The 14,986-nt window shown below is 39.1% G+C and overlaps 1 protein-coding gene across 13 annotated transcripts in view, besides 1 other annotated feature; it reads left to right on the top strand.

Annotated features, from left to right (window-relative positions):
• GRIP1 (glutamate receptor interacting protein 1) overlaps positions 1–14,986 on the top strand; it is a 721,908-nt gene that overhangs the window by 360,849 nt on the left and 346,073 nt on the right. The gene's annotated exons all lie outside the window — the stretch shown is intronic.
• Positions 14,287–14,581: a silencer, noted in NCBI's record as "tiled region #5579; HepG2 Repressive non-DNase unmatched - State 13:Ctcf, and K562 Repressive DNase matched - State 12:CtcfO". NCBI's record gives its function as "represses a minimal TATA promoter and a strong SV40 promoter by Sharpr-MPRA in HepG2 and K562 cells {active_cell/tissue: HepG2 | K562}" and the evidence as "EXISTENCE:reporter gene assay evidence [ECO:0000049][PMID:27701403]".

Raw genomic sequence — 14,986 nt, 5'->3', positions numbered from 1 at the left:
TACAAATGAAAATATCCTAACAGAACTTAAAAGTGAACTAACAAAATATAATTCTAGTATGGTAAACTTTACCATCACCTTGAATTAACAGCCTTAAAGACACTCTTCATTAGGTAGCTCGAGTTTAAACAAATAAAATTTTAGACAGGGGTTAGGATTTTTTTTTCTTTAAGTTTTTATTACCTGTAATTTGCTACACCTGATTCCTTGGGGAGCTGTGTCTAATTCTGTTTATCAATTATTGATGTAAAAAAGCATTATGAGCAACCTCATTCCATTCTCCCTACTGTGTGCATATGCTGTGAAATCCATGTGTCCCAGGAGACATTCCAGTTATGTTGGAGAGCACTGAGATTTTATGGACCAGTTCACTGAGAATATTCAAAAGATATTAACAGGGAATTCTGAAAAGATGTCCTTTTAGACTATTAACAGCATTATTAGAATAGACACTATTATGGAAATGCATATTTCTTCTATTTCTTTTAAACAATTGTTAATAACCTCTCCCACGCAAGATGGACCTTTGACTAACATTCAGTACTATGCATAATTAGAATAGTCCTGCCTTTCTTATATTTTTTAACATCCAGATAGTGTCTCATTTCAAATGTACGTTTAATGACACTAGTAATTTCTTTTTTATTATTCAGGAAAACAGTAACATGTAACATTTTAAAACTGATGGGACCTTGTTCTAGCAAAAGATGGGTTTTCAGTACGCAGCATTACAGGGCATTGAAAATAATTCTAGGAATGGTTGAATTATGAAGACTTTCACCAACATCCAACTTTGTAAAAGAGGAATATGCAGGAAGGATGTGGAGGGAGGGGGTTGCTACCATCTTTTCCCCCACTTGCAAAAAATCTTACCTCTTTTAAAAAGAAGTGTTACTTGAAGTGCTAGGAGAGACCAAGGACATTAAGCGTCTCTAAATAGCCCAGCACAGGTTTTCCACATCTTTTTTTTTTTTTTTTTTTTTTTTAGTCAGTGATTGGCGCAGACAGTTAAATCACAAGGTCTGTCACTGCTACTCAGAGAAGAAGGATTGTGTTTGTAATTTTAAATCGTACATTAGAGACTGAATGTAAGCAACGTTTTATTCATGTTGCTTACTTACATGGTATGTTTTAACCTGTCAAAATAAGTGTGTAAATCAGCAGTAATAATAAATAATTCCTTAGATCTCACTATCTAAGGGCCAATTATGGGAAGCTCTCAGAGAAACAGCTACAGCTTAGAAGACTTGAAGCTTCTAATTTTGGAAGTCTCTAAGAGCATGTGGACTTTGGGGACAGAGTAGAAGGTTACAGAGTAGAAGGGTGAACATAACATGGACAGCTTTATGCATGGGGAGCCAGTTTGCAAGTTGAAAGGTGGCTGAGTTTGTTTTTATTTTTTCCCTACTAAAGAACATTTTTTAAAAATCTTAAATAGATTTTTGTTTGTTCAAACTTAAGTGGTAGTAATTATTTTCTTTTTATTCCTTTATTTCTTCTTAAAAAAAAAAAGGGATACATGGGCAGAACGTGCAGGTTTGTTACATAGGTATCTGTGTGCCATGGTGGTTTGCTGCACCTATTGACCCATCCTCCAAGTTCCCTCCCCTCAGCCACCACCCACCAATAGGTCCTGGTGTATGTTCTTCCCCTCTCTGTGTCCATGTGTTCTCAACATTCAACTCCTACTTTTGAGTGAGAGCATGTGGTGTTTGGTTTTCTGTTATTGTGTTAGTTTGCTGAGGATGATGGCTTCCGGCTTCATCCCTGTCCCTGCAAAAGGCATGATCTCCTTCCTTTTTATGGCTGCATAGTATTGCGTGGTGTATATATACTACATTTTCTTTATCCAGTCTATCATTGATCAGCATGTGGGTTGGTTCCATGTCTTTGGTATTGTAAATAGTGCTGCAATAAGCATACGTGTGCATGTGTCTTTATGGTAGAATGATTTATATTCCTTTGGGTATATACCCAGTAATGGTATTGCTGGGTCAAATGGTATTTCTGATTCTAGATCCTTGAGGAATCGCCATACTGTCTTCCACAATGGTTGAACTAATTTACATTCCCACCAACAGTGTAAAAGCCTTTCTATTTCTCCACAGCCTCACCAGCATCTATTGTTTCCTGACTTGGTATCTTATTGCAGTTTTGATTTGCCTTTCTCTGATGATCAGTGATGTTGAGCATTTTTATGTTTCTTGGCCATGTAAATGTCTTCTTTTGACAAGTGTCTGTTCATATCCTTTGCCCACTTTTTGATGGGGTTGTCTTTTTCTTGTAAATACGTTTAAGTTCCTTGTAAATTCTAGATATTAGACCTTTGTCAGATGGGTAGATTGCAAGAATTTTCTCCCATTCTGTAGGTTGCTTGTTCACTCTGATGCTAGTTTCTTTTGCTGTGCAGAAGCTCTTTGGTTTAATTAGATCCCACTTGCCAATTTTGGCTTTTGTTGCAGTTGCTTTTGGTGTTTTTGTCATGAAGTCTTTGCCTATGCCTGTGTCGTGATTGGTATTGCCTAGGTTTTCTTCTAGGGTTTTCATGGTTTTGGTTTTACATTTAAGTCTTTTATCCACCTTGAGTTAATTTTTATATAAGGTGTGAGGAAGGGGTCCAGTTTCAGTTTTCCGCATATGGCTAGCCAGTTTTCCTAACACCATTTACTGAATAGGAGATCCTTTCCCTTTTGCTTGTTTTTATCAGATTTGTAGAAGATCAGATGATTGTAGATGTGTGGTGTTATTTCTGAAGTATCTGTTCTGTTCCATTGGTCTATATGTCTGTTTTGGTACCAGTACCATGCTGTTTTGGTTACTGTAGCCTTGTAGTATAGTTTGAAATCAGGTAGCATGATGCCTCCAGCTTTGTTCTTTTTGCTTAGGATTGTCTTGGCTATACAGGGTCTTCTTTGATTTCATATGAAATTTAAAATAGTTTTTTCTAATTCTGTGAAGAATGTCAGTGGTAGTTTGATGGGAATAGCATTGAATCTATGAATTGCTTTGGGCAGTATGGCCATTTTCACGATATTGATTCTTCCTGTCCATGAGAATGGAACATTTTTCCATTTGTTTGTGTCCTCTCTTATTTCCTTGGGCAGTGGTTTGTAGTTCTTTTTGAAGAGGCTCCTCATATCCCTTGTTAGATGTATTCCTAGGTATTTTATTCTCTTTGTAGCATTAAATGGATAGTTTTATTAGTTTTACCTACATAGTAACTATTTCACAGTTTAGAGTATTGACTTTTAGTTCAGTGGGTGAACTGTATGAAAGGATGCTGTTTTGAATGGCTTCCATTGCTGTTATTCTTAATAGAAAAGTCCCATAAAATTGTCATGGAATCTTAGGGAAAAAAGAAAAGTAAAAATGATTTCAGCCCTACTTCTTACTAATCATTAATGCATCCCTTCATTCAACAAGTACTTTGTAGTAAGGGCTCTGTTAATTGATGGGTATATTGTAATAGAGCAGAAGACCTTCATGGAGCTTACTGCCTAGATAAGACATCTAGACAAGAGAAAGACAAACTATTGTCAGAACAAGCATAATAAGATGCATGAAGAGGACTTCAGGATGCTATGGCAGTGTACAAGAGAGATGGCAGTGCAATCAAGGTTCAGAGACAGGCTGAGACTTGAATGAAATGGAGGAATTATCTAGAGGAATAATGGGAGGAAGGGATCAACAAGTGCTTTTATTTTTAAGCAAGAAGAAAAATGATATAGAAAAATCTTGGCTGTGTTTCTTTAGGATAAATCATTCCAATGTAATTAATGGGTGAGAGAAAAGAAACATTTTTTAAGGTTCTTAAGCTCTCTGGGAAAGTGATACTCTGTTAACCTCTTTCCTGCCACCTGTAGGGGTACACATTCTGCAGAGTGCTTGGGAACACTTAATAGATGAAAACCACATCTCAGTGTTCTGTTTCACAATTCTGTGATTACTTGTGATACTAAAGAGTTTTTCATGTGTTTATTTGTTATTTGTGTTGATTCTTTACCCCCACTGTTTCTTCACATCTTTTGTCCATTTTTTCCATTTGCTTGTTAGTGATCTTTTTACTGATCCACATGTGTTCTTTATAGAATAATATTAACATTTTTCTTATTTATATAAAATTCTTTACAATTCTGATTACATTTGAATTTTTAACATTAGCTTTTTTAATTATAAAAATCTGTTTTTTAATAATTTCTTCTATTGCTTTAATACTTTGAAAATGTTTCCTCATCAAAAGATGATATGTTCACCTAAATGTTTTTCTAGATATTTTATGTTCTTTTGGTTTACATGTTATGCTTATCAAACTAAAGTTTATTTTGATGTTTGTGTGATGTATGTAAATTGATATTTTGGAGTAGTTAGTCAATTTCACCATCTATATCTTTGATATAAATATATCCTTTTATTGTCATCTACTATATTCTTTTTATTCTGGGATCTGCTTTAGGTCTATCTATTCTTTTTTATTGACACATGGGTACCTTCTCATACCTTTGTCACTTGTGTTTTTTTCCTTCCCTTTTTCTTATTTTTACCATTTGAACCATTTTTAAGTGTATAATTTAGTGACATCTGTTACAGTCACAGTGGTGTGCAATCATCAATACTAACTCCTCATTTCCCTCTCCCCACCCCACACACATGGTTTTCATTACTATGGATTTGTAATATATCTTAATGTCTAGTAGGCATAATGTCACCCAACCCATGGCTCTTGTTTAAAGTTGATACTCTTAATTTTACATATCTGTGGTGTTGTTTTGGCTGCTTCTCCTTGCTTATCTCTTGTTCTGTGAATGAGTGTTCCACCCTTCACCAGTCACCAAAGCATCAAGTTTGGGCATCATCCTGGACTCTTCTTTCTTCCTCTCCTGACACCCATCAGTGTCAGTTGCCCTGTTGATCCTCTGTCATTCATATTCCTTGGATCTCTACTTTCTTTCCACCCATCATGAGCCCTGCTCCTTTTCAGTTCCTCATCACCTACAGCAGGAATGATTGCCTCCACCTCCTAGCGGATCTTCCCTCCTCTCCCTTTGCCCTCTCCCATGCATCCTCCACACTTGCTACCTGATTGTCTTTTTAATATAGATATTATCATGCCTCTTCTCTGGCTTAAAATCTTTCTGAAGTTCATGACTTTTGGGATGAAGTTCAGATTCTTTGGCAAGGTCTTAGAAATCCACTACTCTTTCACCTTAATTCCACTCTCCCTGCTGCATGTGCACATGTGCGTGCATGCACACACAGACATACACACATACACTGCAAGCAAACTTAAGCCTTAGTAGATCACATTCACACTCCAGGTGGGCCAGTCCCTGTCAAGGCACCATATCTTTGCTGATGCCTAGAACCCTCATCTGCTCTACTCCTTTTCTCCCGGCTATTAGATCTCCTCTCTGTGCTTCAAGCAATGTTGCAGACTCTATCCTGGAAGTCCCAACACTGCAGTGACTTACATGTCCATCTTCCAAAGGTCCCGTGAAGGTAGGAGCTCAGTCTGTCATCAGTACGGTGTATATGGCACAATACATATGCTTGCTTTAACTTCTTTTATCTCATGGTGTTTCTTTAAAACTATTTAAAATTAACAAGTATTGTCTAAAATAATATTTCCCAAGATTACTGTATTGTTTTCTCTCTTGAATTCTAACTGCTCCTTTCTATTGATTGCAGAAAAGACCCTTACCCCTTTCTAGACCTCCTCTTGTTAAGTAGAATGATTCATTAACTTGTACCAGAGAGACGTTTCCTTTTTTGTCACCCACTCTGTGTTTAGGTGTTGAGTAAGCTATTAATGTGCATTGCATTGTGTCTCTTTTTTGCTTTGTTAGGGAGACTTTTTAATTGAGGTTGTCTTTATTACACTGCTTCTGTGGCCACTTTGTTGTAACTCATTTCCTAGTAATTGGATATGTACCTTCTCTGAAATGTAATTTTCTTTGGGCTTGTAAAATACACAGAGCAAGCCATATACATGAACTCTTTCATAGAACTTTTGCTGTCATTAAAAATAAAAATCAAAAAACTATTACCTTGAAAGCAGAACTCTAGGTATTTAAACTGACTGAAAACTGTCAAGAGAACAAAAGCAGAGAATTTAGCATAAGAGATCCCAAATTTGGGGAGGAAATATAATTCTAGAGCACTATTAGATAGAAATATCATTGCATCACAGTGAAAGAAGCATTTGGTCCTTCTCTGACAGATTATCTGAGAATCATACCCCTGAAGAGTAAATTAAATGCATCTGGTGCTTGCCTTTTAATGGAATATCATGAATATAATAAGGCCAATATTTAAAGATTAGCCCAACAGAGTATATAGCCTAGTGTAAACAGATTAAAATGGCAGAAATAATACTGTTCTTCGGGTAATACAGGAGGGATTTTTACTCCCTTTTTCTCATCGTTTATGACCAGAATTCTGAGTGGCATTGGAATTTGTGTTGCATGACCAGCTCTGTGATACTTGAATGTGTTAGACTTCTGAATGACTGTATTCACTATAACATCAGCATCCATTAAAAAATCACTCTTTCAACTGCTTGTACAGTTAGAGTTCTAAAAAGAGAGTGAGGACCAATTAAGTATATAGCTACTGCAAAAGTAATCATTGTAAAGGCTGTTTGAATGGGTTCAGCTAAAGGTTTGCATGAAATACGCCATTTAAGCAAGTGTAGGGTTAACTCAAGGAAGCTTAATTGATCAGCAGGTATTTATTGAACACTTACTGTGTGTCTAATGCTCAGATTAGTATGTAAGAGCCATTGCTGTTAAGGAGACATGGCTTATATTTATGAAACAACTTGAGGTTAATTGTGTGCTGAATTCTGGGGCACTGCACTGTGGATAATAGGAGGAATCCAGAGGAGGAAAAAAGTGGTGAAGGTAGAAGTTGGAGAAGCCTTTCTATGGGCAGCCTAAAGAGCTTGCAGTTATTTATTCTGGTATGTTTCTTGTACATCTTTCCAGATGTATTTCATAAACTGATAACAGTAGTTGCCTCTGGAGAAAGGATCTTGGAGAGGATTTACTTTTTTTTACTGTATTTCCAGTTACATTATTTATGTCTTGTACCTTGTACATATATTTCCTATTGACAAAATAAATGTATTTTTGTGTTATTAAAGTAATTCTACTAAAGTAGTTGAGCTAAAGTACTCGTGCAGCTTGGAGCTACTCAAAGGAAAAGCATCAGAGTAAGCAATGGCTAAGAGGCAGCTATGAAGAGGAGGAAGGGGTAAGGTGAGGCAGAGGAGTCCCAGAAGAACACTTTGGAATTCAAGTGATAGGGGAAAGTAGTAGAGGAGTAGGACCATAATGGATGTGTGTAGAAAAGGGAGGGTTTGTGTTTATTAGTTGCACGGGTTTTGGAGTCAGACTACCTAGATATGAATTCCAACCCAATCTTCTATTCACTAGGTCTTCTTAGATTTCCCTTTTCCAAACCTGTTTCCTCCTCTGCCAGACAGGAGTTATTAATGAGGTTAGCCTGTCTCATGAGGTTAGTCTGAGGATGAACATGTAGGTCAAGCACATAGCATAGTGGCTGACCCATAGCAGGACCTTAGGCAGCCCGTGGGGGATTCAGAATGGGTTGGAAAGAGGACATCATGGAGCCAGAAAGCCTCAGACAGCAATAAAGCATTTCCTAAGTTCTGTCAGTCATACCTCCAAAATATTTCTCAAATCCCTCCTGTCTTGTTGCTCCCTGATACCAGCATCCTGGTTCAGGCCCCTGTCATCTCTTGCTAGCAGTACTAGAATATCCTCCAAGCTAACTTGATATTCTCCCCCCCAGCCTATCCTTAGCAGCCACCAGAGCAGTGTGTCTAAAACACAGTCTCTGGGTAAAAGCTTTCACTGAGTTAGGCACAGTGGCATGCACCTGTCATCCTAGCTACTCAGGAGCCTGAGGCGGGAGGATCACTTAAGCCAAGGAGTTTGAGGCTGCAGTGAGCTGTGATGATGCCTGTGACTAGCCACTGCACTCCAGCCTGGGCAATGTGGTGAAACCCCAAATCTTAATTTAAAAAAAAAAAAAAAAGCTGCCACTGGCACTGGTTCCCATCACCTGTGATAAAGCCCACTCTCTAACATGCCACTCTATGTGCTCCGCAGCCCATCCCTTTCCTGCCTACCTCCCCAGCCTCATGCTTTGCCACTCCCAGGCTGAACTTTTAGTAAAACCCCAGAAATGTCAAAGCACCTGTTGCTCCAGCATACATCACACCATGCCTCAGATCCATTCCTTCACTGATGCTTTTCCCTCTGCCTGGAACATCTTTCCCCTTTTCTCTAACTTTATTTTCCTAACGTTTGTTTATCCTTTGAGACTCCCCCAGGAGTTCCTTCTCTGGTTTCCCCCAGCCCCCACCACAATCTGGGTTGTATACTCACTTCTGCTGCTACTACAATACTCTGAATCTCTAATGATTGGGCAGAAGAAGAGAAGCTCTCCCTGCCTTGCTGCATGATGCTAGTCCCTGACTTGCCCCTCCCAGGAGGTGGACTCAGGTATCTAATGTGTTCCTTTGTGATGCTCAGTTCCTCCCTCTCTCTTCTCTTTGGGAGCTGGTACTCCTTGACTCCTTCCCGCCCTTCATTCTACAGGGCGGGCCTCATGCAGGTGGATGTGGTTGTTCAGCACTGCTAGTGACATTAGCAGCTTAAGTCCCTGTGAGTAAGGATGTGCCATTCAGCCCTTTGAACTCTCATACTAAGCCACTTTCTTCAATATCAGCTTTATTAGTAACAAAGGAGATATTTTGCTTGCCATCTGCCTGATTCCATTATATACCTCTCTGTATTAGTCTCTTCTCACACTGATAATAAAGACATTCCCAAGACTGAAAGAGGCTTAATGAACTCACAGTTCCACACAGCTGAGGAGACTTCACAATCATGGTGGAAGGCGAATGAGGAGCAAAGTCATGTCTTACATGGTGGCAGTCAAGAGCAAATGGAAGAGTAAAAGGGGAAACCCCTTATAAAACCATCAGATCTCATGAGACTTATTCACTACCATGAGAACAGTATGAGGGAAACCGCACCCATAATTCAATTATCTCCCACTAGGTCCCTCCCACAACACATGGGAATTATGGGAGCTACAATTCAAGATGAGATTCAGGTGGGGACACAGCCAAGCCATATCACTCTCTGTTGTTTCTGACCTTTGATAAGAAAGAAGAAATGTTAGTTATTGAACCACAGAAGCCCCACCAGGTACTAACTTACTGCATTTTTGCTTTTAATTATCTATATATGTCTGTCTGGGACACTAGACTTACCCTCCTTAAGAGTAAAGGCTGTTCCTTGTGTTTGTGTATCCAGTATCCAGTACTCCAAGGGAAAGATGGTGTTTAGTCATGAGTATCTGCTTGTGGGACACATGTGGTAACCTAGTGTGAAGTGGGTGTGGATGAGGGCTGGATGATGTGAGAAGAGAATAGACAGGAGATGATAGTAATGGTAGCAACAGCTGGCATTTACTGAGCCTGCTGCATGACTGAGAACTTCACTTAAGCCTCCCAACAACGCTGCAAGGGTAGAGGCTGCTGTTTTCCCCACTTATGAAAATATGAGTTTGCCCACAATCATACAGTAGGAACAGTTTTTCTTACTCCAGAAACTGTGCTTTAAAAAGTCAAAGAAAGAAATAACCAAGTTTGTTATGGTAACATTGGTAGAGGACTTGAGTGGTGCTTCCACCTACTGGGCTTCCAGAGCAGCTAGATACGATAGGTAGATTCATATTAACCTCTGGAGGGGATGGGGTGGGAGGACCACCCTAGAGCCAACAAAGGAGGTGGGGGGCCAGACTATTATTATCTTCACCGAACAAACAAGAAACAGGGAAGGAGGAAGGCAAGAAAAGAGAAAATAACTCTGCCGAGATTTCTAGCCTAGGAGACTTGCGGGTTGGTGGCCAAACTGACAAATAGGAAATAGTTGAAAAAGAGCTGTCCTGGGAAGCATTTGTGAAGTTCTGCCTTGCGTGTGTAGAATGTGGGTTCATGGTGGAACTTTCAAGTGTTTACATCCTGTGTGCAAATGAAAATAAGGCACAGGTACAGCTTTTACTCTTCAACAAATATTTTTTAAAAACACAAGGCGTCCTGATACTAAAAAGTGATGTTTCCCCATAGTTGACAGGTAAAAAACACTTTCTTTCTAAATTAAGTACAATTAATTGTGATCTTAGTTACTTTGTTCACTCCTGGTTACATTTTTGACATGTTAATTCTTTTCAGTGCATGTTCAAGTCTAGATACATATTGATTGAAGAGAAGAATTTTGAGACAAATCTCATGAACCTCCATATCTGGTGGCACAAGTCTCATTTAGCAATGTGCTCCATTCTTTTTCAAGCTCCTAATCTCTGATTGTTGTAAATATTGTAGAAAGCATATTGCTTTCTACAAATATAGGATCACAAATACTGTAACCGTAATTCTTTTCTGTATTTAATACTGCATACTGAAGATTTTTTCTAGTTGTAGAATACAGAGAAATCTAGATATATGGTCCAGATCGATAACAAGAGGATCAATAAGCTTTTATTCTTGTTGCACTTCGCTTTGTTGAGGGGGTCTTGATTTGCATTTGCTGATTAGAGCCATTTGTCTAATATATAGACATGAGAAACATAGTTTGAATAAGGCCAGAACTTCCTACAAAGAGAGTAACCCACTAAAAATACTTTCGAATCTGTTGCTTTTCACTTCCTTACACCTTCTCTCCTGGAATTTAGTTCAGATTTGGAGCTGTCTATGGACAGAGAAAGAGGCATCAGTTTCATCCCTGTGCCTGACTCAGCTCAGTGCAGCCAGTTAGCACGCTTCTCAGCCCTTCACCACAAAACCAAAAGTATCTTAAAAAGTAGTCTCAAATGTGTGACTGCCCCAAATTGAGCCCCAAGTGAGTCTGGAGCTGAGGGCCAGGTGCATTTGTGTTGTCGGCCATTTCCCTATGGTTATCTAGCCCATTCTGCCTTCTGTTTGAAGATAACTGAAATATTATCAAAAATGGTTTGTTTAAAGGTGTAACAGCTGTGTTTCTGCAAGAAGCTCATAATAATTAAATTAATACCTGTAGTGGCTCTCTCTAAGGAAGTCTGGAAGCTTTGCACATATTAACATATTTATTCTTTCCACCTCTCTCTGATGTGAGGGAAAGGTCATTGTCATTTTTATATTTCCCTTGATGCAAAAGGAAATAAGTTACAGCAAGGATGGAGTTTGAGATAGGTCAGGAGAGAAGGAAAATTGGTCTTTTTTCCCTTTAGATTTTAGTCCTTTTGTTCATGGTTGTTAAAGTTCAAACTATTCCATTCCTCTATCCATTAATACATTTGCTTGTTCCTTCATTCATTCACTACCAAATGTTTATAAAGCACCTGCTATATGTCAGGCACTGGGATCACACTTGTCTTCAGAGTAGTTTGAAACTTCACTGTTGTACAGAAGTTACTTTGTGCTTTACAGAACCCAGAACCACCTCTGGGAAGCACAGTTTATAAACCACTGAAGTAGAACATTCAGTCATTTATTCAACAAGCAACTTTTTTTGCATCTACCAAATTCTATTAGGTGCAGGCTGCCTAACATCCCTCTTGGATCACAAAATCTATAACAGTAATTCTTTTTTTTTTTTTTTTTTTTTTTTTTTTGAGACAGAGTCTTGCTCTGTCACCCAGGCTGGAGTGCAGTGGTGCGATCTCAGCTTACTGCAAGCTCTGCCTCCCGGGTTCACGCCATTCTCCTGCCTCAGCCTCCCAAGTAGCTGGGACTACAGGTGCCCGCCACCATGCCCAGCTAATTGTTTGTTTGTTTGTTTTTTGTTTTTTGTTTTTTTTAGTAGAGACGGGGTCTGTGTTGGCCAGAATGGTCTCGATCTCCTGACCTTGTGATCCGCCCGCCTCGGCCTCCCAAAGTGCTGGGATTACAGACGAGAGCCACCACGCCTGGCCTAACCATAATTCTTTTTAAAATTTCTTTTTCATGCTGAGTATGTTCCACCTTTCTCTAACTCATTCTCTTTGTAGCCTCTTTATGACTATCAGGAATAAAGAATTTGTAGAATGTCTTCTTTGTTACACTGTCCTTAATAATGTTTAGATTGGTATTTTTCTTTAGGCTAGCAACTTACTCATCAGGAATCAAATTCTTCAAATGACAAGGAGCTTGCAGAGCTAGAGTTTTCTGTAGATTGAGAGAAATGAATAGGTTGACTTGTGTTTCTGTATGTCTACTGGGTCAAAGGACCATTCTTGAGATGTGAAAGTACCCTAAAGAGTGGCACAGCTGGTAAGTGTTATGAGTTGTCCTTTAAAAAAAAAATGGGGTTTTGAGATAATAGTAATTTTGCTAATCATTAGCTTATTCCATTTTATGCCTATATTGTGATTTGATTCTCTCTTCCCCTCTTCATTTAGTTTTTCCGTTTTCTTTCAAGCTTCATTCCCATTTGCCCCATGCTACCAGTTCTTTCTTCTCCTGGAATATTTGCCTGCTCCACCATGGACAGACTCTTAGTTATCCTTCACAATCCACCTCCAGTCCCACCTCCTCTGTGAACCTTTCCTACTGCCTCATTTATCCATTCTTCTCACTAATTTGTTTTCTCCCTTTTGCATCCACACATCCTACTGATAGTATCAATAAAGCTGATATTCCACTGAATTATTGTTACTTGTTTAAAGATACCCTGCATATGTAAATGACATTGCAGAAAAGATATTCATTAAGTGATATTTTTATTCCATTCTATCACCTTCACCAATGCCCTCCCCAAGAAGCTCCTTAAAAACGAAGATTATCAACCTCAATTTTGTACCTCTAGTTCCCTCCCCAGTGCTTGAAACATTTGCTTTCAGCTAGCAACAACACTGTAGCAGTTTTGGATAAGATAACCTCCTACCTGCCTAGCAAGGGCTTTCAGATTTATGCCCATGGATCAATCCCATTAGTGGTAGACATGGACTAGGGCCAAGAGGAGGAGTGGAGCCAACCACCGACAAGTCACAGGATCTCCTCCTCTCGTGTGGCCCATAGCTCGTGCTGTGTATCCCAACCTTGGGCTAATCAGTCCACTTCTGGAACAGGTGTTCTCTGTCCAGCATACTGTGGCTGACAGGAGAGGGGAAGAATTTGCCACCTGGTCAGAATTTGTGTAAACAGATGCCATAAAAAAAAAAAAAACAGGTTAGATTGCATGCTGGGTCAGCAGTTGAGGAGTGCTTTGAGAAAAGTGTCTTCCCCCTATGAGCAAGGCTCCTCCTCACACATGGTCAGCCCCACTTCTCCACCCAGAGGAGGTAGAGCCTGTTCTAGGAACTCCTGTTGAACATCTAACACATCGTACTGCACTGGCAGCCTGATGGTCTTTATGACTTGGTTAGAGACAGATGATTTGGAAGTGGGAATAAAAAGCTTTCTTCCTTATTTTAAAAAGATTTGCCTTTGTTTTATGAAATTATAACAACAACAGTTATCAGTAAGACTTTAGTGCTTCAGAGAGATGTTGGACCTCAGATAAGACACAAAAGGAGATCTCACTTAGCCATACCCTCAGCCTGCAACTAGCTCTGCCCTTAGGCTCTGGGTATTTCCTGATCTTTGGGATGTCTACTGTGGTAATCCGGGAACTGGTTACCAGCATCTATTCCCTGGGATATGGAAGCATCTCAGGAATAGTAATGACTTATAATTTTATACTTAGAAAACCAGGATGTCAGTGTACTAGGTGACTGTGGGTTGGGGAAGAATATTAGACCTCAGAAATAATAAGTTAATATCACCAGCAATATCAATAATAGTATTACTGTTTATCACGCACTATGCTAAATACTTTACTAATAATGTAACATAATCCTCACACTAGATATTTTTATTATCTTCATTTATAGTTAAGGAAAGTGATGCTAGCAGATGATAACAACATATAATAATACGTACTGAGCATTTACTGTGAGCTGGCACTGTGCCCATCTGCCAAGATCCTATCAGAATCATGATTCAAACCCTTGTTTTTATTATTATAGGATGAAATCTCCTTGGGGAAGAGGTAAAGGATATGTGGAAACTCTCTGTTTCCACATTTTTTTGCAGCTTTTCATTAAGTCTAAAAGTAATTCAAAATAAAAAAGTTTTTTAAAAACTCAAAACTACAAAGCTCATAATGGCCACTCTCTGCTGCCTCCTCTGGATAATGGCCTCAAGTAGAAATGCTTAGCCCATGTCAGGGATGCTCACAACTCAAATCATGCTGGAAACTGTTCTGCAGGTGTGCACTCCTCAAGGACCCCTGTCTAGTATGTGGCATTCTCATCTTAGATGTGATGAATCTATGTAGTTAGTATGACACATTTTCCCCAGCAGATGGCAGTAAAATGTCTTGAGGAAGAGATGCTGTTTCTGATGCTCATAATAGTACCGTCTGGGCTGGCAGTGGCCCTGAGAGTGCTAAGAAATCTGGAGAAGAGGTAGCAGAATTGAGAAGTGTTTAGGAGGTGAAATTAGATAGCAAGTTGGTGTGGTGTTTTGTTATAAAGATGCCAAATTTGAGTGCAATCAAATCAACCACTAAATTTATCATCAGTTCAAAGGATTTACTCTTCCTGAGCATAGTCCTTCATTTTATGTATCTGTATAATTTCTATTTTTAAAATCATGGGATTCGCCTTGATACAATAGTGATCTAATGAAGAATGAGGATTAATGGAATTTTCTTGTCCATGAATAGACCCATAAAACAGGAAATTTTTTCATGAATGGGCTTTAGGGAGTCCGTGGTCCACTTGCAGTTGTCATGTGAGCATATAAATTTGTGTACATTTTACCGGGGAGAGCTCCAGTAAAATCATATTCTCAGATGGGCCCAGAATGTGTTTAAAAAAATTCTGTCTGAGAGCATATCACCCCGGAAGGCCTAAAATAGATTCAAGGGAGAAGGACAGCAAACTCAGGTGC

The sequence above is a fragment of the Homo sapiens genome, chromosome 12, assembly GCF_000001405.40.
Source record: "Homo sapiens chromosome 12, GRCh38.p14 Primary Assembly".
NCBI lineage: Eukaryota > Metazoa > Chordata > Mammalia > Primates > Hominidae > Homo > Homo sapiens.
This window is presented reverse-complemented; position numbering and strand designations above follow the sequence as displayed.